General features: G+C 37.3%; 1 protein-coding gene and 1 long non-coding RNA gene across 10 annotated transcripts in view; one reads left to right on the top strand and one right to left on the bottom strand.

Annotated features, from left to right (window-relative positions):
- Window positions 1–22,871, top strand: part of ZNF451 (zinc finger protein 451) — an 80,118-nt gene that overhangs the window by 9,661 nt on the left and 47,586 nt on the right. For 2 of the 9 annotated variants that reach the window (NM_001257273.2, XM_011514463.3), the window contains one exon: window positions 755–9,868. The exons of 6 other annotated variants lie outside the window; for them this stretch is intronic. In NM_001257273.2, coding sequence (NP_001244202.1) covers window positions 755–2,248 — 1,494 coding nt within the window. In that variant the 3' untranslated portion in view covers window positions 2,249–9,868. Of the gene's footprint in view, window positions 1–754; window positions 9,869–22,871 lie in introns of those variants that run through there. One more of the 9 variants, XM_011514461.3, reaches the window with a different exon arrangement.
- ZNF451-AS1 (ZNF451 regulatory antisense RNA 1) overlaps window positions 15,063–22,871 on the bottom strand; it is a 57,303-nt gene continuing 49,494 nt past the window's right edge. The window contains exons 3-4 of the long non-coding RNA NR_110742.1: window positions 15,608–15,715; window positions 15,063–15,410 (exon numbers count right to left, since the gene is read on the bottom strand). This is a non-coding gene — a long non-coding RNA (ZNF451 regulatory antisense RNA 1). The remainder of the gene's footprint in view (window positions 15,411–15,607; window positions 15,716–22,871) is intronic.

Genomic DNA, 22,871 nt, shown 5'->3' on the forward strand with positions numbered 1-22,871 from the left:
AACTTCTTGCTCTGTGATATAGGGGATTGAGACTTGGACTTGGAATCAGAATACCTGGGTTTGAGTCCCAGCTTTACTCTTTACAAATTCTGTGACTTTGGATAAATTAAGTAACCTTTTAGCCTCCGTTTTTTAATCAAATAATACCTACCTCACAGGGTTGTTGTGAGGATGAAATGAGGTAACAAATTATAACTTCTTATAACTACAAACCATAAAGTAGGACTATACAACTGGGAAGTTTTGTTATTCGTGGACAGTGAATGACAGAATTTTCAGAGGTGCCTAAAATGACTCTAATGGGGGAGTTTTAGATTTTTTTTCTTCTCAGTGGAACTTTCCTTAAGTTCTCTTTGCCATCATTAGCTTCTTGCATATCTTGAGTAGAACTTAACATATCTTGAATGGGATATTTTTTTCTTTTATTCTTATGAGTGGTCTCACACAGGACCAAACAGCAGGCCAGCATAGCACCACGTGATCTGAGCTTGTTTTTACTCTCTCCTTTTTCATAAACAGAGTCCCAGATTAATGCCAGTAGTTGATTTTGGGTCTTTGGGGTAGTGAAGCTTGTGGATTTGACTTCTCTGATTCCTTTTGCTGACCTTGAGTGGATTGTATCTTTCACTGTTAATTATAATAATTTAAAAATTGAGTTCTACTTACTGGACATGAATCTCTGCACTTGAAAGTTAACATATTAAAAGCATATTTTTTTTCTTCCTTGGTTTTCTTGTTCATGTGGATAACCCAGAGAATGCCTGAATCTAAGGTGCCATCCTCTGAGAATCATCGCCCAGAAATGTGCTCTAGCTGCAATGTTCCTCTTCCCATTGGAGATAGCAGCTCCTTCTCTGGGAGTTGTTCCAGCAGTCCAGAAAGGATAGTTTCTCAAACTTCCTCTGTTGAGAACCCATTGGAGAACCAGAAAAATGATCAAAATAATTCAGATACTAAGATCTCTGAGACAGAGACCCTTAAATCATCACAGAATTTTCAGACTCTGCCTTCATCTCCACTTCTGGTCCCCCAAGAATCTTTGGCCTCTTCTGAGGTCAAAGAGAATTTACGTATAGATTCTTCTTCAGCTTCACAGCATGGACGGGATGCCATCCTCTATCTCCAGACACAAGTAGCTGAAATGTCCCGAGTGATACGTGATCTGCAGTCCAGGAGCTGTTTTAGATTTCATCATTCTAGGCCAAGTGAGAACTCCTCAGTTCCTTGGGACATCTCCACCTCTAAAGAGGAAAATTTATCCACAGTTGAAGAAGAAACTGATTACAAATCACCATCAGCTGATGACAAAGGGCAGCCATCTGACCCCAGCCAATCTAGTTTCACAGGTCTTTTGAAGAGAATGGAACAAAGAGGTGTTATAAAAAGGGTGACATTACAATCTGAAGCGGAGTCATGTGAAGGGAAACCTGATTGTGTGACTTCTAAAAAACGTTTGGTTCCTCCATTGCATCCTCTTCTGAGAATTGCCACCACTGAGGTTTTTAAAGACCCTGCTGATTGCCATCCTTCTTCCTTCATGGGACACAGGGTATATCCTGTGGCCAAGGACACCTCTCCTTTCCAACCAAACCCACCAGCTGAAGGCCCCATTGTAGAAGCATTAGAACACAGCAAAAGAGGAAACACAACATCCCCTCTAGATTCTACCTCAAAAGAAATGGAGGTCATGGGTTGTAGGTTTTACCACGCTGCCTCCATTGCAGCCCGAGCTGCTAGCTACATGGCCTATATGACTCAATATCAGCGTAAACTCTGGGAAGACATGGAAGATCTGGTTCATGACCCAGAATTTGATCGTGGAAAAGCAAGATGCATAATATCTGATGGTATGGATGCAGGCCTTTGGCAACTTTGTACTACTAGGGACATAATGGACTCTGTAGTCAGAGTTATGGCCATGGCCATAGACTATAGACGGCAGGCCTGGCTTCGACTTACATCTCTCACTAAGAAAACCCAGGAGAAGATCTCCCACTTGCCCTTTGATGGTACTTCCCTTTTTGGACAAGATGTGAAAGCTGTTGTTGCAGAAGACAACAATATAAAAGAAAATGACTATAAAGATCACAAATACTATAATCAGCATCGATACTTTTATAGTCATGATCAGAAAGCACATTATCACAATAGAGGATACTCCAAAGGGGATTGGTACAAACCTCGAAACCACCCCTATAGATATAGAAAGAAGGGAGACTCTCCAGAACGCCATGGGTACAAGAATTAATAACCTGTTTAATGTTCAGCAGAGTAGTCATTCAAGATCCTAACTATTTTACTTGTTCCTCCTTGTACAAATAGGATCTACAGGTAGGAGATCATCTCAAAAACTGGATGCATGTCTGGAATGATCACAGCTGACATTTGAATTCTAGACTTTTGAAATGAAGTATATAATAAAGAAACTCATGACTTATTGGCCAAGTGAGCAGTGGAGACTTTCTTGAAAGGGTTGGACAAATGTTTATCCTTTATTTCTGGTCCAAAAATAAGTGTGGAGGAGGACCACTCAGGAATCTGAATCCTCTTGTGATTAAAGAAAAATATAAAGATGTGTTCCTCAGGAAAATCTTATTTGTAAACTGAGGACTAGCAGATTTTGAATCTAGAAATAATACTAGATGTCTGTTTACTAAGACCAGAGGTAAATCCTTAACTTTTAGGTTATCAGTGCTTCCTTGTTCAGGCTTCAGTTTGACAGATCTTCACAAAATGACACATCTGTTAAAATGTCTTTATGTCAAGATGGTCAACTCACCAAGAGTCCGTACTACTATCAAGCTCTGTGAGACTTCAGAATCAGCCATGAAGCTTTGTGTCAACTGGAATTCAAATCAAATTTTGCCAAATCCAGTTTGCTTCCCCTTGGAATGGCTAGATGTCGCAGGTCTATTATGGACACCAACTGGAAAAAGACTTCTACCTGTAACATCTCTGTAGAAATTGCACAGTAACTATCTTCATCAAGACTTTGATGGCCACCATACCATCACTACTCATAAAGCTACATGTGAGAGAATTGTTTGTTGTTATCAATCCTAATAGTCTTTGACCTATCAAGCTCTCGTATCAAGCTGTAAGACTGAGTCATGGTAGTCTCTCACTGTAAGCTGGGCCTTTCACCAAGATGGCCTTCTTAAACAACCTACCTTCTAAACATTTAATTCTTTTGAGCTTGATAGTGCATCACACTCTAAATACAAAAAAGATACGCACATCAGTGCCCTGGAAATAAAGGATGTTACACGATCCAGGCATGCAAATCTGAACTCCTAAGACCAAGAATTCCAAACATGCCTGACAATCTTGTCCCCTTATTGTAATAAAGAGGGATACCATCAGTCTAGATTTTATTGAGAATCCTTAAGATTTAAAGCATAGCTGTGGATGTGGTGAAGAGAACAAGCCACACAGCTCTGTTTCTGGATATCTAAGTGATGATATCCATTAATGATTTGAAAGGCTGAAATCAAGATTTAAGTGATACGCTCTTGGTTAATTGGTTACTTAATTTAGTCAGATTCTTAGTGTAAGAGACAGCTTATCTTTTTGCTCCCAATTGGTCCCATTAATAGTTTTTCACCATACTGGAACTGGCAGCAGATACCTCAATTATATGTCCCACAGTATCTTCTCTTTAGACTCAAGGTAGTGGATGTATGGTATATCAGCCCTTAGATCCATGTCTTCACAGCATGACATCAGGAATGGAGAATATGTCAAATTTGAGGGGTCTGAATACATCACCTAGTATTATTTGCTTGGCAGCCAAAAACAGTTGTTTTTATTGACAGACTTAATTCTGTAACTTCTGCGTTTTTTCATCTGCTTGATCAAGGCATTTTGGATGTACTGCTAATGGAATATGGCACTGTTTTACGGTTTATGTGGCTTCTGTTCTTGCCACAGTTGTTGCACAGTGGTAATTGATGTTTTCTCTGGTGCCACACTTTTTAATAATCTATTGGAAGCTCATTCCTCCTCCCCCATCATAACCATATTCAGCACCCATTTTTAAATCTACTTTTCTTCCTTATTTGTGCTACAGAGGTTGATGGCGTAAATTTTCCTACTTGGAAGAAATTACTTTATCAGTTAATTTCAGGGTACTGTATTGATCTTGTTTGTCCTATTTGTAGATTAAACTTGAACTAGTCTTAATAAAGGGGATATTGTTTTGCAAATTTAGCCCAGTCATATCAAGAGTTAATATTTATCTTATTTTTCTGTATTTTACTCAAAATTTTATTTCCACTTCTGTAGAAATAGGTCCATGCCAGTGTTCTCTACAAAGTGTCTTTCAAACTAAACTCTAGAAGAATATCGATTACCTGAACAGAAACAAAGGCCTAAGAAATCATACATTTTTGTAGCTTATGTGTATTGCACCAATCAAGCAATCCCATGTGCTCTTGATATTGGCACTGTAGTTTTATCTTAGAGGACTTGCCACTGGAGAACTCAGTGGTGAGAGACCTTGGAAATGTTTTATGTGGCTGCACATAAGTGTTTCTGACTAGCTAAGGCTACTTCAGACTTTTCACTTTCCATTTGTCCCCTTTTCCTTCCCTGAATTAGATGCTATGTCATAAACTTGGTGGTTTTTGAAATACTCTTATTTCAAACCTTAAACTAAACCGAAATAAGTTATGCCTGAGAATGCGTTTGTCTGAAACGATTTTGGCACTTCCCTTTAATATGCTTCCCCTTCCCTTTGCCTTTTAAATTGTGGTTAAAAAAAAAGAAAAAAAAAGGCACATAAAGCTGAGCACCTTAACCATTTTTTAAGCGTATGGTAGTGTTGACTATATTTGCATTGTTGCGCAGCTCCTCCATTCTTAAATATTTGTAAGATGATGTTGCTGTTCTCTTTTCCTCCTGTGATATTTATGTTGCCCAGTAATAAGTAAAAGTATCCTTTCTTAGTTACTCTAACTGATATGCCCAAGTGTCTCCAGATACTCTGTTTTCCTGGAAGTGTAAAGGTATTGGGAAATTATCAAATTGGTGACCAAGTAGTTCTGAAAGGATTTGACCGTTTAATAGGGATGGGGACAGAATGCAGATCAGGAAGAGTTTTTAGTAATAGATTAGTTTCTTGATTGCAAAAGAAATATCTTTAATGTGTTAATTTTTTATTATTTTAAAATCTCTGGCATACTTGAATGATAATGTTATAAAACTTAAAGTGAGGATTTGGTCTAGGGAGATTACCCCAATAGAATCAGAAACTCTTAGTCAGATAATAAATCCTCATATTATGCCTGCCATGTTCAGAACCTGCAACAAAATTCCCTACTAGGCCAACCTCTAACGTTTAAATACCTCTAGGTTTTCTAGGAGGCCTTGGAATAGTTGCAAGTTTAATGATCTGGTATTCTCAAAAAGGATGTATCTAATGATCTTGATTCTTCAAAATGTTATTTCTTGATTAGATATACAATGTATATAGAGACAATATGGTTTCTTGTAGTTACTGTGTATAGAGAAGTACTGTTTCCATTTTTATATGAAGTGCCTTTTTAATTCTACACTTTTCTTTAAAACTTAAACTTTGATGTCTTGCATATATTGCTGGTGGTATTTATGTGAATTTTGTACAGTGATTTAATCTTGTAGTTTATCATTTGTACAATTGCACTATCTAAATGTACTCCCTTCTGAATGTTAATTTGTTTTCTTTATAGCACTGTTGATTCATTTCAGAAGGTTGTAGAGTATACCTCCCTCCCCCTTATTTAACTAACTAGACAGTAGTTCCTTTTTGTTATTAGTGAGTGGCTAATTTTGGGGGGCCTTAAGGCAGCTTTGTTTTCTATAGATATGCTCTAGGTTTTCTGATTGTCTCGTATCTAACCTTGTTCTTAGCCATGATAACACAACTTATATTTGATAAGTGGATGTGTTTACTTGGTTAGAATAAGCAAGGACATTTTTAAAAAGCAGTAAATTTGCTGACACTTTTATCTTTTTTTAAAAGAATGAATGACAGCTTCCTTATCAGTATAATTACATTTAAACTTTTTTTTTTAAACCGTGTGGCAGCTTCTTTATCAATCAGTATAATTCCATTTATTTACTTAGCCCTCAAAATGACATTTTGAAGGGAGCATAAACTCTTTCAGGCTACTTGGACAGTATTTAGTATTCTATATTAGTACTACACTAATAATTTACTGAGTGCTACCTAAGTGACCTGATTGATAATGTCCTTAAGGACCTGATACATCCAGGATAACCTCTCAGGTACTGTAAACAAGGAGGTTGAAAAAGACACATTCCGGAATCCCTTTGTCTGGTAAAATTGGATACTGATGTGGATGGACATGACATTCATTATTCTTGAAGATATAACTAGTTGACTGGGATTCTGATGAAGGTTTGAAATTATGGATTAGATCTTTGTAGAAGTAGTTTAAAGATTGCAATAAGTGAAATCTTTTTTTTTTTTTTTTTTTTGAGACAGTTTCGCTCTTGTTGCCCAGGCTGGAGTGCAATGGCACGATCTTGGCTGACTGCAACCGCCACCTCCCGGGTTCAAGCAATTCTGTCTCAGCCTCCCGAGTAGCTGGGATTACAGGCATGTGTCACCATGACCTGCTAATTTTGTATTTTTAGTAGAGACGGGGTCTCTCCATGTTGGTCAGGCTGGTCTCAAACTCCTGACCTCAAGTGATCCGCCCGCCTTGGCCTCCCAAAGTGCTGGGATTATAGGCGTGAGCCACCGCGCCTGGCTGTGAAATTTTTTTTTTTTTTTTTTTTATGTGAGGCATATTTTGCCACAGTCTCGCACTGTTTAGGTTCTCTTGTCTTTTGGAATCTATCATTCTGTATTTAATGTTAGTGGCTAGTCCAATAATTGATTGTCTCATCTGTATGCATCTTATGCATGTGATTCAATAGACTAGATCGATTCTGTGTGGTTTATCATAGTAGATACACAAACCAGTCTTTATTTTTTACTTAAGAAAATATATAAGTGGAAGTTATCAGTAAACTGGTGATTATTGTATTGAATGCAAATCTTTTTATTATTTTTCCAGATATATTGAGTTTTATAAACCATTAAAATATTATTTTATGAAATTTCCCTTCCTGGATGAACAGAATATTGTTTTATTAAATCTTCTCTTATTAGTGGAATATTTTTTACTTCTTTGTCTTTTCATTTACTTGTTTTTTGTTATAATGAAAACTTTACTAGTGTTTGGTACCATTGAGATAACTTATTACTGGAAATTTTGTTTGCTTCCTGTGGGATATATCTGGAAGTGGTCATAGTCCAACCATGTCCTTTTGATGTTGTTAGCATATCAGTTATTCTATGTATTGATCTTTTCTTCTCCTGTATTCAACACCTCTTTCTGAAAGGATGTCTGATCTTCCCATAATCGCTTTGATGTAGATGATATTTTTATTCTATCAGTGTATACTAGACAGGATTTTGATGTGGCTTTGTATTTGTATATTTAAATACCATGTCTTTAAAGCATTATTAGAAGAGATATTCTAGTTTCTTCTAATGTCCCTTTTAAAAAAAATATAGCCAGTCCAATATCTCAAACTACTTTGATTTTTGAACTTAAATCAACTTTTAGTGCTACCTTGTTTAATGGTAGTAGTATTTTCTCATTTCTACATGTTCACACAAGTTTATTATATATAGTTTATGGTCATATGTATCTTATAAAAATTTTGAAGCCCATCCCCATGGATTTATTATAATACAGCTCTGATATATCTTAAAGTTAACCCGTTTTCCGTAGATGTTAAGGGCTTTACTGGTTGAGGTAACCTATTTCAAATGGTCTGTTGGGTTTTGTGGTACCTTGTCAAGAATTCAATAAGAATTCTCAGGCTGTCTGTATTTTCTTTTAGGACTTTGGAGATCTCTCAAGTTGTACTGTTTTCTAGTATTCCTGAGTATATTCCTTTGGTAACGTGAAAGTAAATAGTTTATATTTGATGATTTTTTTTTTTTTTTTTTGAGACGGAGTCTTGCTCTGTCACCCAGGCTGGAGTACAGTGGTGAGATCACGGCTCACTGCAAGCTCTGCCTCCCGGGTTCACGCCATTCTCCTGCCTAAGCCTCCTGAGTAGCTGGGACTACAGGCGCCCGCCACCACACCCGGCGAATTTTTTGTATTTTTAGTAGAGATGGGGTTTCACCGTGTTAGTCCAGGTGGTCTCAATCTCCTGAACCTTGTGATCCACCTACCTTGGCCTCCCAAAGTGCTGGGATTACAGGCGTGAGCCACAGTGCCCGGCCTGTATTTGGTGATATTTTAAAAAATTCTACTTTGACCTTAAGTGCTTCAAGAATTGTGTTCAGTTAGTAGTCCTTTTGTAAGACTAACTTTCATATGCTATCTTTGCTCCATGAGCTATCATAGTACTGTTTTCTTTCATTACCCGTAAGAGTGGCTCTATCACAGCATTTACTGTTAAGGGCTACAGTTAGACCTCTTGTTAACTCTACTTTTATTTGTGATGGCTGTGTTTCACACTACCTTGATTTATAAATGTAGTAATGTGTTAAATAACTATATGTTGTGGTCCCTTAATACCTCTTTTGATTGGTGAGGTAACAGTGATGTGGATGATGAAATAAAAACGTTTCCCCAAGTCACTAAACACAGTTTTCAATTCATTTTTTTTTACATATTTAATTTACATCTAACTACTGTTAGGTATGCAGCCCGTTCCTTTTTGCCTTCAGTAGAATATAGTTATATAAGTAGTCTCATTTAGATTCTTGGGACAGAACGGCCTGTGTATTGATCTTTCTTTAATGGCTTGGAACAGCTTCTATATATTCTGACAGGTCTTGGAAGCATGTTAATATCCGTGTGTTTAATTGTCATCTTCCTGCCTGGGAAGGCAGTAGAAGAAAGAATCTACATTTGTATAGTCTGTAGTACAGGCTCTGTGCTGATTGCAAGGCACTCTTGAGAGAAATTCATTCTTATTTTGCAGAAGAAGAACTGAAACTTCATTAAGTCATTAAGCAACTTGCTCAGGTGGTGGAACTGAGCTTTAAATATGGACTTTTTCCAGTCTCAATTCAGCATTATACTAGGCTGCCTCCATGTGTTTTTCAAAGCCCCATTCAAGTTTTACTTCTATGGTAAACTAATTTTACATACACAAATCTTTTCATTTTCTGAACTTCCTTTATGGCTTTACTGTCACCCCACTAGTATTTGATGTCTTAGCTATTAACTAATTCCTGATTATTTCACTTGTCACATCAGGAACCCTATCCTCTTAGTTCTCCCATTGAGATTTCACTGCTGGACTAAGATTATTCTTGATTCGTAGTCATTGGTTTCTGTTTCCATTCATTTTCAGCACTGATTATGTTAATCGTATTGCTTGAGTTTTTTCTTTGTTCAATGTTGTTTATTACATTCATTTTGTTTCATATACACACATTTTTTTTTTTTAACTGGCATTTTGAGGATATTGGTTTAATGGAAGGAAAAAGGAATGGTGCAAAGCACATGGTATTTGAATTCCAAAGACCTTGACCCTCAGCATTAGCAAGTCACTTGTTTTCTGAGCCTCAGTTTTCTTACTCTCAAATGAGGTAATATCCGAAAGTACTTTGACAACACACTAAAGCCTGATGCAGATTTCCTTTTTGAAGTAATTGTGCTGTTTCTATTCATATTGGATATGGTATTCTATGGTATTGGCTATAGATACATACATTTTAAAATGTTATTTAACAGCATGTAAATGTTCATTTCATGCCATGTGATCATGTTCCCCTTTATGATTTTTTAAGGCTGTCTTACAAGCCTAACAGTGTACTAAGTCATTAAAAGATATATTTAAAGTAAAATAGTCTCTTTTCTCAAGTACAAGCTAAGAAATGCTCATAATAATAAAATAAGAGAATGTAGAATGAGGAGTTAGAGTGTATATGTATGTGTATACAATTTTTGATAGATGGTATTTTGTTATTTCATATCTGTGTTGAAAACAGTCTTTTAGTTTGTCAGACATCTTTTTCAGTACCTGCTATGTGCAGGCAGGTATTGAGAAAGGTCTGAGAATACTGAGGGTTAATAAGAGATGGTATATTCTCCAGAGAAATAAATACCACTAAAGTATAAGAGCAGATGTCCTTTTTGGAAGAATGCCTGTGGTGATGGAATAAGAAAAGCCATATAGAGGGGTGAGGAAAAGCTTTTCTTACCAAGTGTGTGAGCTGAGTTTTGGAGGATGATTAGGCAAGAGTTAGTTGGCCTGGTGGAGAAACAGGAGCCAGACATTCAGCTGGAGGAACAGGAGTGTGGAACAGTGTGGGTAACACAATGGGGTGTGTCTGGTTTCAGAATTATAAGAAATAGTCTTTAGGGGGAACAGAAATGAAGGAGACTAAATAGATGATGATAAATTATCTGTGAATATGTACTGGTTCCTACATATTCAAAGTGTGCTAAGTTTGTACAGCCATTACTTGTAAGGTTCTAGGAGTTGTCTCTCTAGGGGTTGGTTTGTACCATAGTCCATTATGTACATCTAGAACAATTCTTTCTTTCCCGGAACTGAGCCCAAGGTGGGCTTTCTACAGTGCACCTCTGGCTCTGGGGCAGCTCAAGCAATCAGAAAGAACTGAGGCACTGGTAGAAAACAACTCTGAGGATGAACAGGATAATGTTCCTGAAGTGGAATGTGGTATCCCTTCATGGTTAAATGGTTGCATACTTCAGGGTCACCTATGGAAAGGTGTCCTCAGGGTAGCTAAAAGTGGTTAATTTCCTTGTGTTTTGACTTACAGATCATTTCTAGGTGGACTTGGGGAAAATAAAGTTACTTATAAAAATATTGCTTCATTGGCATTTGGAGGTGTTGTATTGAAGGAGGAAGTGGGTTCCTATCACCAGAACCCTCTCTAGGTGTTTCAGATAGGAAACTGGGTTGTAGACCTTGTCCCAGTAATATCTCCAGCAGCTCCAACACATTTTGTCAACTTCGTATTCGTTTTTTAAGTTTTTTTCCTTGCTGTTGGCCACCTTTACCTTCTTTTTTTTTTTTTTCCTTCTTTTTCCCTTATTTTTTGAGACAGTCTCACTCTGGCGCCCAAGCTGGAGTACAGTGGGGTCATATCGGCTAACTGCAACCTCCACCTCCCAGGTTCAAGCGATTCTCCTGCCTCAGCCTCCCAAGTAGCTAGGATTACAGGCGCATGCCACCATTCCTGGCTAATTTTTTGTATTTTTAGTAGAGATGGGGTTTTGCCATGTTGGCCAGGCTGGTCTCGAACTCCTGACCTCAAGTGATCTGCCCACTTTGGCCTCCCGAAGTGCTGGGATTGCAGGCGTGAGCCACCGTACCAGGCCCCATTCCCACTTTTACTTTTATTTTCTCTACAGTTCATCCTTTTTTTTTTTTTTCCTTCTGTGCCAGAGGTGGAACAGTGGCACTCAGGGTTAAAAAACTCCCTTTTGCTTTGTCACACTTCATATTCAGAGTTACTGTGGGGTTTTTTTGTTTTTTTTTTTTTGTTTTTTGTTTCTTGAGACGGAGTCTCACTCTGTCGCTGAGGCTAGAGTGCAGTGGTGCGATCTTGGCTCACTGCAACCTCTGCCTCCCGGGTTCAAGCGATTCTCTTGCCTCAGCCTCCCGAGTAGCTGGAATCGCAGGCACCTGCCACCATGCTCAACTAATTTTTGTATTTTTAGTAGATACAAGATTTCACCATGTTGGCTAGGTTGGTCTTGAACTCCTGACCTCAGGTGATCCACCTGCCTCGGCCTCCCAAAGTGCTGGGATTGTGGTTGTGAGCCACCACGCCTGGCCGTATATTTTAAAAATCTCTTAAGGTCCAGTTACTGTTATATTTTGGTCCTGTACTGAAGGAGGATGTAAGTCATTTTCCTAAAATGATTTTTATAGAGATAGATGTTGGCAGTTTACTCAAAAGAGAATATAGGAAAATCTTTTTTAACAGGTTTGGTGGGACTAGCCTTATTCACTGAATAAAGTACTTTACAGAATGGAGTATATCTATATGTGTGTTTTAAGATTTGTTCATACAAAGCAGATGTTCTGTGTACTTTGTATTTGTAAACAACTAATTGGGGGTGGGAAGGAGATTGCTTTGTAAAAAGAGGGTTTCCTTGTTCTAAAGCTTTGCTGCTGGAGATGGTAAGATGGTAAATAAATATTGTACTGTTATGCTGCGTTTATCTCTTCTGCTTTATCTGTATTTGCATATAAAATTCTTGAGAAAAACCATTGCTTTTCAAAGTGTTATTTGGGATACGGGTTTGAGTTATATAAGTTGAGTAGAAGGGGCTTCTGGTAAACAGAACTTTGGGGGGTGGTGCAAACTTCAGACCAAACTATGAATTGAAGCTTTAGGATGGGCAATAATAAGCGGACTTTGAAATTGGGTTTTTATGAAGTAATCCATTTGTTGCAGGAATTCTGTTCAAACCAAATGCGCTAGTCAGATACCGTGATGATGTGCAAAGTTAATTCTTTTGCAGTTGGTTGTTCCTTTGAGCTTTCTTTGAACTTGGAGTCCCTTACATATAAGATAGAGGTGATGAAAGAAATAGTCTCCAGTTGGTACTCCTCTGGATCATCAGTGCCAGCTGATGTTCAGGGAGATATTATGACTGTAAATAAACCTGCCTTGGATTGTTTTGTGTATATCCCCTCACCTTATTCTTTACCTTCTTCCCTCCTACAAATTGCATCTTTTTCTATTACTGGCTTTTTCAGTAGGCAGAAAGTGCCTATGATGAGTGAGATAGGAAACTGGGTTGTTGTGATCACTTCTCTGGGTAGTAACTGTTCTTGCAGAGTGCTTTCTTCCTAGGTTATATCACCGTGTGTGGTATATGGAGCAAAATTGTTCCATTTCACAGAGAGGTCTAGTGACTTCATGTTCATAATATATTCATATTTCTATTAAAGTAATTTTGTAGAAAATATAAAATGGAAGCTTTTTGGTTCATCAAGAACTAAAGTGCTTTCTGAAATTAGTAATAATGATTTACAAATATAAGTCATTTCTTTATCATTAAAAAGCCACAAAGTAGTACAATGCTATGAGCTATTATAAAATAATTTCTTCTATGAAGCCCAGCTTTTTGTTCCTTTTTCTTTTTTTAAAGCCTTTATTTTAGGTTCAGGGGTACATTTACAGGTTTGTTTTATAGGTAAACTTGTATCACGGGGGTTTGGGGTACAGATTATTTTGTCACCCAGGTACTAAGCGTGGTAACCGATTGTTATTTTTCTGGTGCTCTCCCTCCTCCCTCATTCAGGCCCAATGTCTGCTGTTCCCCTATTTGTGCCCATTGGTTCTCATTATTTAGCTCCCACTTATAAGTGAGAACATGCAGTATTTGGTTTTCTGTTCCTGTGTTAGTTCACTAAGCCCTCCAGCTCCATCCATGTTCCTGCAGAGGACATGATGTCATTCTTTTTTTTTTTTTGGCCGTATAGTAGTCCGTCGTGTATATGTACTACATTTTCTTTACCTAGTCCTGCTTTTTAATATTGTTTTCTAGAAATTGCTTTGCAAAAGTAAAATCACTCCATTAATTCCGCATTCCCTTTGAGTTAATATTTGCAAACATTTAAAGTAACTGATTTAGCTAGTTATCACAATAAGTTACTCAGAGGTTCAACTTTTCGATGAGTGATGTATGAAGAATAAAGTGAAAGATCTGCCTGAATTTAATATTTGTAAAAAATATACTCATGGGTCTTCTGAGAAAAAAAAATTTTTTTTTTTTTTTTTTTGAGATGGAGTCTCGCTCTGTCACCCAGGCTGGAGTGCAGTGGTGCAATCTCGGCTCACTGCAAGCTCCACCTCCCGGGTTCACGCCATTCTCCTGCCACAGCCTCCCGAGTAGCTGGGACTACAGGCACCCATCACCACACCCGGCTGATTTTTTGTATTTTTAGTAGAGATGGGGTTTCACCATGTTAGCCAGGATGCTCTCGATCTCCTGACCTCGTGATCTGCCCACCTCGGCCTCCCAAAGTGCTGGGATTACAGGCGTGATCACGCCACCGCGCCCAGCCGAAAAATTTTTTATAAAACAGTTTAGAGCCAGTTCTGTCTGGCATTTAGCTTCCTAAACCATACTACATTTTCAGGATCGAGAGTGAATTGTTCAAGAAATAGGCATTTGTAGATGAATTTTAACAGAAAGTTCATGTATGAAGTCATATACATTCATCTGAAGTTACTTAAGTAGAAATTTAGCTTCTACTAAAAATTTATTTTGGTTTTTAATTAGCTTCCTTTTGAGCACATTTGTTAAACTTACCTAAGAGAACTTATCTTTGTGATTGGAAAAACTAAGAATCCTGCTTTCTATATTTACATTCCAAAGAAGAATAGAGAAAGGTCAGGTCTAAGTGAGCTGAATAAGCATATATTTTTAAGTTTCAACTTTTAATTTGACTAAGTGTACTTTCATCAGTATTTTAAATACACTTTAAAATACAAAATCAGACATGCTTTTAGGAAAACCATATATGTAAAAAAATATATACAAATTTGTGTTTTAGCTAAATGTTTTTTGCTTTAAGTGATAACGGTGTTTGGCTTGAAATTTGTGTAAAAATATTTTCCCAATAGCCATTAAGCTTGTTGACCTGAAAGTGACTTTCCTTAATTCTTGATTAATATGTTTCTGTTGAGTTTGGAAAATAATGTAACCCAATCATTATACATATAGGGACAAAAATCTGAGAAAAGTTACATACAATTTACTAATAGATTATGTTCCTTCTAGATGCAGCATTTCTGTCTATATTTTTGTAGGATATATATTAAACATATTTTTATAAGGCAAAATTAGTGATTTAAACCAAGTCCATTATGTTCCCAAACAAAAGACTGAGATCCTTAACATTTTTGTCTTTGTATAGTCTTCTTCATTAATAATTAAAATTAGTTAACAATTTTATTACATATGCTGATTGTAGAAAAATTAGAAAATAAATGTAAAAAAGAAAAAACCCTCCAGACAGAAATAACCACTATTTAACATTTTGATTTATATAGCTTTCTAGATTTTATTCATATATATATTTACAGGATCATTTTCACTTAAAAACTGCAAGTGTTGCTTGGCACAGTGGCTCATGCCTGTAATCCTAGCACTTTGGGAGGCCTAGATGGGAGGATTGCTTGAGGCCAGGAGTTCAAGTCCAGCTTGGGCAATACTGCAAGACTCTGTCTTCACAAAAATAAGAAAAACTTGCTGGGAGTGTTGGTACATGCCTGTAGGCCCAGCTACTCAGGAGGCCGAAGTGAGAGGATTGCTTAAAAGTGAGCTCAGGAGGTTGAGGCTTCAGTGAGCTGTGGTCACACCATTGCACTCTAGCCTGGGTAACAAAGTGAGATCCTGTCAGAAAAAAAAAGTATCTAATTGATTGATCTATTAGTACTAATAGGGAAGAGATGTTGAAATGTAAGTTTAACATTATCATTTCGTTGATTATGGGATTTTGTGTCAGGTTGTCATTTCTAGACTTGGACTTTTTGCTGTAACTCTACCAGGATACATTAAAAGATAAACGTTGTTTAGAAGTGTTGCTTTACCTGTGTATGCTTAACTTTCATGGAGATGTTTCGTCAGGTGTAACCAGTATCCTCAATATGGCTATCATTTCTAGGATACAACCGAAATTTGCTCTGTGCATGTTTTACCTAAAATTTTAGATAAAAATGTAAAGAAGTATATTTGAGAATGTAAGAATTTCATAGTGACTGAACCAGAATCTGCCTTTAGGCTTCTTCTGGCTTTACATCCTCCTTAATTCTATGCAATTCTGGGTATGGAAGAAAACTAATGCAGAAATTGATCTGAAGTATTGGCAAACAGAAGACCTCCAATTTTCCCAATATTTTTCCTAAGGCTTTCCTGTGCTTCTCCCCAACACTGATTGGCTAGCATTGATAGCTTATTCACTGTCGGTATGGACCCTTTAATATTATGTGTTTTATTTAAAGACATTAGTCCAGGGTGACCATAGGAAATACTTCAAGGAGGATAACCCTGAAGATCCTATAGCTGCTAATACTCAAAATGAAACTTAAAAAAAATAATGATTTTTGCCATGGATCAGAGCCAATTCAATTCTAGCTTGAGAAGTGAATTCAGGTCATATCTGAAAGCCTTACCTTTGTTAGAAATTAGGTCCAAAGACCTAAGTGATAATTCAAGTTATGGGCTTTGTGGGAGATGGCAAATCCAGCCTAAGGAAAGGAGTTCTGGAATTTTACAATTTCACATTAAATTACACGTCAGTATGTGGCATTAGGGGAATGGTAGAAATTCTCAGTGCTAAGAATTGAGTGGCCCCTTTAACCAGCTACCTTGACCCCCAAAGCCAAGATTTGTAATGGAAAAATATTGTATGGGCAGGGTGCTGTGGCTTACGCCACAGCACTTTGGAAGGCTGAGGCTGGCGGATCACTCGAGGTCAGGAGTTTGAGACCAGCCTGGCCAACATGGCGAAACCCCATCTCTACTAAAAATACAAAAATTAGCCGGGATGGTGACACACACTTGTAGCCCCAGCTACTCGGGAGACTGAGGCAGGAGAATCGCTTGAATCCAGGAGGCAAAGGTTGCAGTGAGCCGAGATCACACCACTGTACTCCAGCCTGGGTGACAGAGCAAGACTCTGTCTAGAAAAAAAGAAAAAGAAAAATATCATATGACTAATAGTCTGCCTCATATACCTAATCTTTTCCCAGTTTAAAACATCTTTCTTTAATATACCCGTTTTCTCAGTTTTAAAGTTTCTCAGTTCAAAATTGGCAAAGATTTCAGAGTTGAAGCCCTTGCTTTCTCTACTACCATTCCTTTTCCTCTACTCCTAGCAGATTTCTCCCAAATCTGTTTTCAGTATTGGTAGCCAGAGTTCCTTTTTTTCTTCCTTTTTAAGAAGAAAATAGAACCAGGCATGGTTGCATGTACCTATAGGCCCAGCTACTCTGTAGGATGAGGTGGGAGGATTGCTTGAGCCCCGGAGTTTGAGTCCAGCCAGAGGACCTTATCTCTAAAGGAAAACAAAACAAAAAAAAAAAAAATGAAGAAACTTTCTCCTCACAGGGAAGAAGTAAGCCCAAAGTCAATTCTAAGATGCCTTTTGTTTTCAGCATTAGGGCTTGTGGGTCTTTTCAGCCCTTCAGTGTTGTGAAAGAGAATAAACAGATCAGCAGAATTAGTAGAGAATAACAGAGGCAATTTATTGAGACATAACCATATACAAGTTGAGTGTCCTTTATCTGAAATGCTTGGAATCAGAAGTGTTTGGGTTTTAGATATTTTTGGATTTTGGAATATTTGTGTTACAGCTGTTGGTTGAGCATCCCTGATGTGAAAATCTGAAATCTGAAATGCTCCAAGGAATGTTTCCTTTGAGCTTCATACGGGCACTCAAAAAGTTTTGGATTTTAGAGCATTTTTTTTTTTTCCAGATTTTTGGATTAGGGAAGCTCAACTTGTAGTTAAATAAAATATGTAGGCTACTAATAGCTAAATATAAGAAAAACAATTGTAGTAAATAATGACAATCCCAACAGGTTTTAAGGCCTCCAAGATGGTAGGCTAGTGATTAATTTTAGAGTGAAGTTGAAGAGATCTAAATTAATGTTTAAATGGCTAAACAACTTATCTTCCTAGTGTCGTGAGTATGTTTTGATAGCACGTGAGTATAATTTGAAGGGAGTGAAGTTTTAAGAATATACTTATGTGACTAGTGAATTACTGAAATTTTTTCCTACTGAATATATAATTGCTGTGTTTCTGAATTTAATTTTCATTGACCTTTGCATCAAGAGTATATGCAAAGGTCAGTGAAAAGTATTGCATCAGATTCATTTAGTATGCTTTAAAGTAAACATTAAGAAGAATAAATATTATGTAAAGCTTTCCTGAATGACTATAACTTCAAAAGTAACTTAAAATGGTTTTATTATGGCCTAGAACAAAGTAAAATGATAGTGGAAACATCAATTCAAGGATAGTTCTTCCCGAGTTAGGATTACCTAAATTTATCCAAAACATGGCCTTCTTCCTGTCCCTAGAATATTCACATTGTTGTTGTGACACAGGAATTTCGGAGAGATGAAAAAAATCCCTTGATTTCCTATCCTTACACCCACATGGCTGCATAAGTGACTTAATGTTTGATTAGGAAATATTTTGTTTGGTGTAAGGGTAGCAACTTGAAATATCTTGATAAATTTTCTGCAGCTTCTAGTCTCCAGACAAATTTAGGCATAAGATATACTTTCTGTTTAGGAATGTCAGTCCTTCTCTCAACCTTTAGGAGAATTGTCATTACTGTCTTTTTTTTTTTGGTAGGTAAACAGTAATTTATACCTTGTCCACTTTGCCTGTATGTTAATGTGACCTTGGTTTACCAGGACTTTCAAGCATGACTTTTGTTAAAGTTTAAAACCTAGAAAGTATTATCTCTGTTGAGAAAGTTAACACACTCTATACCTGTGTTTAAATTTTACCAGCATCTTTAAATTAAAGTTTATATTTGTGATCTATGCTAAATTTCCTTCTCGAGGTAGTATCTACATTTTGTAGTTTTTGCAAGGAATAAATTTAATTTGACCTTTCTCCCCCTTTTTTTAGAAGAGAGTCTTGCTTTGTTGTCCCCCAGGCTGGATCATAGCTCTTTGGAGCCTCGATCTCCTGGGCTCAAGCAATCCTCCTGCCTCAGCCTCCTGAGTAGCTAAGACTATAGGCACATGCCACCACACCCAGCTAAATTTTTAATTTTTTTGTAGAGACGAGGCCTTGCACTGTTAGCTGGGCTGGTCTCCAACTCCTGGGCTCAAGTGAACCTCCTGCCTCAGCTCCCAAAGTGCTGGGATTACAAGTGTAAGCTACTACGCTCGACCACTAATTTGCTTTTAAGGCAGATTTGCCTGTACTAAGGGATCAAAGTTTAGAAAAATAACTTCCTGTGACTGCCATTTCTGAGGACCTGCATTGCCCTGTAACTTGTAAAAGGATATTTTGAAGTTAGTAGAATGTCACCTACTACCTGGGTGCAAGGCTGTATGCTGTCCAAGTAGTCAGAAAGTGAGCTGGGGTTACTTCTATCTAAAGTGGTCCTATAAACAGTCCCTACTGCAAAGGTGTAGCCTCATACTGAAAATACCAATTTGGCCTTTTTATATATGCTTACTTCAGTATAACTTCTTTCTACCTCTAGAAAGAAGTCATACCTGCTGTTTGACTTGGCCAGTGCACCACTATCCCACTTTAGATAAAAATTGGGTTGTACATATGTGACTGATTTGCCCAAAGAGTGATATTTTATTTGTAACCAATCATTCTGGTAGAAAAAGCCAGGGAAGGCCGGGGCGTGGTGGTGCACGCCTGTAATCCCAGCACTTTGGGAGGCCAAGGCGGGCAGATCACCTTAGGTCAGGAGTTCGAGACCAGCCTGGCCAACATGGAGAAACCCCATCTTTACTAAAAATACAAAAATTAGGTGGGTGGTGGCACGCGCCTGCAATCTCAGCTACTCGGGGGCTGAGGCAGGAGAATCATTTGAACCTGGGAGGCAGAGGTTGCAGTGAGCCGAGATCGCGCCACTGCACTCCAGCCTGGGTGACAGAGCAAGACTCCGTCTCAAAAGAAAAAAGAAGCCAGGGAAGATCTATTATTTTTCTTTTCTTAAAATAGACTTTTTAAAAAGAGCAGTTTTAGGTACACCATAAAATTGAGCAGAAAGTACAGTCAGACAGTGTCCACTTACCTCCTCCCCTCCCACCCCTCCATGCAAAACCTCCACTATCCTCATTGGAAACTACAGGGTACATTTGTTTCAATCTGTGAACCTCCATTAACATATTTTGTGCTTCTAGTCTCTAGAAAAATGTAGGCATAAGATATACTTTCTATTTCTTTCTATTTAGGAATGTCAGCCCTTCTTTCAACCTTGTAGCAGGAGAATTGTCATTACTTTTTTTTTTTTTGGTAGGTAAACAGTGATTTATAAGTTGTCCACTTTGCCTGTATGTTAATGTGAGCTTGGTTTACATTAGGGTTCATAGTTTACATTAGGGTTCACACTTGGTGTTATACATTCTCTAGGCTTTGACAAATGTGTAATGACATGTATCTGTCATTGTAGTATTACTGAAAATAGTTTGACTGCCCTAAAAATCTTGTGTGCCCTGCCAGTTTATCCCTCCTCCTTGACTATCCTGTCAGTCACTGATCTTACTACAGTTACCGTAGTTTTGCCTTTTCCAGAATGTGATATGTGGCCATACAGTATGCAGCCTTTTCAGATTGGCTTCTTTCACTTAGTAATCAGGTGCTTTTAAGGTTCCTCCATGTCTTTTCACAGCTTGATAGCTCAATTCTTTTTAGCATTGAATAATGTTCTATTGTCTGAATATACCAAAGTTTATCCATTCACCGATTGAAGGACATCTTGGTTGCTTCCAAGTTTTGGCACTTATGATACAGTTGCTGTAAACAGCTGTGTGCAGGTTCTTGTGTGGACATAAGTTTTCAATTCATTTGAGTAACAACCAAGAAGTCCAATATGTTTAGTTTTGTAAGAAACTGCCAAACTGTTTTTCAAAGTGGCTATACCATTTTGCATTCCAACCAGCAATGAAATGAGAGTTGGCTCTTGCTGCACATCCTTGCTAACATTTGATGTTGTCAGTGTTTTAGATGTGGCCGTTCTAATAGATGTATATTGGTATCTCGTTGTTTTAACATATACTTCCCTAATGGCATATGCTGATCTTTTCATATGCTTAATTTGTAATCTGTATATCTTCTTTGGTGAGGTGTCTGTTTAGCTATTTCCCCATTTTTAAGGCAGGCTGTTCATTTTCTTATTGTTCAGTGTTGAGTTCTTTGTACATATTGGATTACAGTCCTTTATCAGATGTGTCTTTTGCACATATTCTCCCAGTCTGTGGCTTGTGTTCTTATTTGTTTGACATTGTCTTTTGCAGAGAAGTTTTAAGTTTAATGAAGTGCAGCTTATAAATTATTTTTTTCAAGGACCGTGCTTTGCTCCTGTATCTAAAAAGTCATTGTCATGCACAAGGTCATTTAGATTTTCTCCTATGTTATCTTTTAGGAGTTTTATAGTTTTGTATCTTGTATTTTGTTCTGTGATTCATTTTATGTTAATTTTTGTGAAGGGTGTAAGGTCAGGGTCTAGATTCATTGTTTTTTGCGTGTGGATGTCTACTTGTTCAAACACCATTTGTTGGAAAGACTGTCTTTTCTCCATTGTATTGTTTTTGCTCCTCTGTCATAGATCAGTTGACTTTATTTATGTGGGTCTATTTCTGGACTCTGTTGTTTCATTGATCTGTTTGTCCCTTCTTTTGACAGTACCACACAGTCTTGATTACTGTAGTTTTATAGTAAGTTTTGAAGTCAGTTAGTGTCAGTCCTATGACTTTGTTCTCCTTCAGTACTGAGTTGGCTAATAGTTTTTTTGCCTCTCCATATACACTTCAAATTGAGGTTGTTGTTATACAAAAAATAATGTTAGGATTTTGATTGTGATTGCATTGAATATATAGATCAAGTTAGGAGAACTGACATCTTGACAATAGTGAGTCTTCTATCTGTGAACATGAAATACCTCTCCACTTCTTGAGAGGTTCTTTGATACAAAATTAACTACAAAAGTCAGTATCATCTCTATATACCAATAACAGTTAAGCTGAAAACCAAATGTAGAATACAACCCCATTTACAATAGCCACACAAAAAAATTGAATACCTAGGAATACACCTAACCAAGGTGTGAAAGATCTCTACGAGGAAAACTATAAAACACTGCTGAAAGAAATCATAAATGACAAGCAAATGGAAAAACATTCCATGCTCATGGATGGGAAGACTCAATATCATTAAAATGGCCATTCTGCCCAAAGCATTCTATAGATTTAACACTGTTCTTATCAAACTACCAATGTCATTTTTCACAGAAGTAGAAAAAACTATTCTAAAATGTATATGTAACCAAAAAGCCTGAATAGTCAAGGCATTCTTAAGCAAAAAGAACAAAGCCAGAGACATCACATTACCTAATGTCGAATTATACTACAAGGCTACAGTAACCAAACCAGTATGGTACTGTTATAAAAATAGACACGCAGACCAATGGAATAAGTTAGGGAACCCAGGAATAAAGCAGCACAGGCACAACCAACTCACCAACTCATGTTCAACAAAGTCGACAAAAATAAACAATCGAGAAAGGATACTCTATTCAATAAATGATGCTGGGAAAACTGGCTGACCATATTCAGAAGTGTAAAATTAGACCTCTCACCATATATAAAAATTAACTCAATGGATTAAAGACTTAAATGTAAGACCTGAAACTATAAAAATTCTAGAGGCAAACCTAGGAAATACTCTTCTAGACATTGACTTAGGCAAAGAATTTATGATGAAGACCCTAAAAGCAAATAGAACAAAATCAAAAATAGAAAAATGGGACTTAATTAAACGAAAGAGCTTCTGCACAGCAAAATAAACTATCAACAGAGCTAACAGACAACCCACAGAATGGGAGAAAATATTTGCAAAGTATGCACCTGACAAAGGACTAATATCCAGAATTTATAAGGACTTAAATGAATCAACAAGGAAAAAAACCAATTCCATTGAAAAGTGGGCAAAGGCCATGAACAGACACTTCTCAAAAGACAACATACAAGCAGCCAATAAACATGAAAAAATGCTCAACATCACTAATCGTCAGAGAGATGCAAATCAAAATCACAATCAGATACCATCTCACAGCAGTCAAAATGGTTATTTCTAAAAAGTCAAAAA

This window comes from Homo sapiens, chromosome 6, assembly GCF_000001405.40.
Source record: "Homo sapiens chromosome 6, GRCh38.p14 Primary Assembly".
Lineage (NCBI taxonomy): Eukaryota > Metazoa > Chordata > Mammalia > Primates > Hominidae > Homo > Homo sapiens.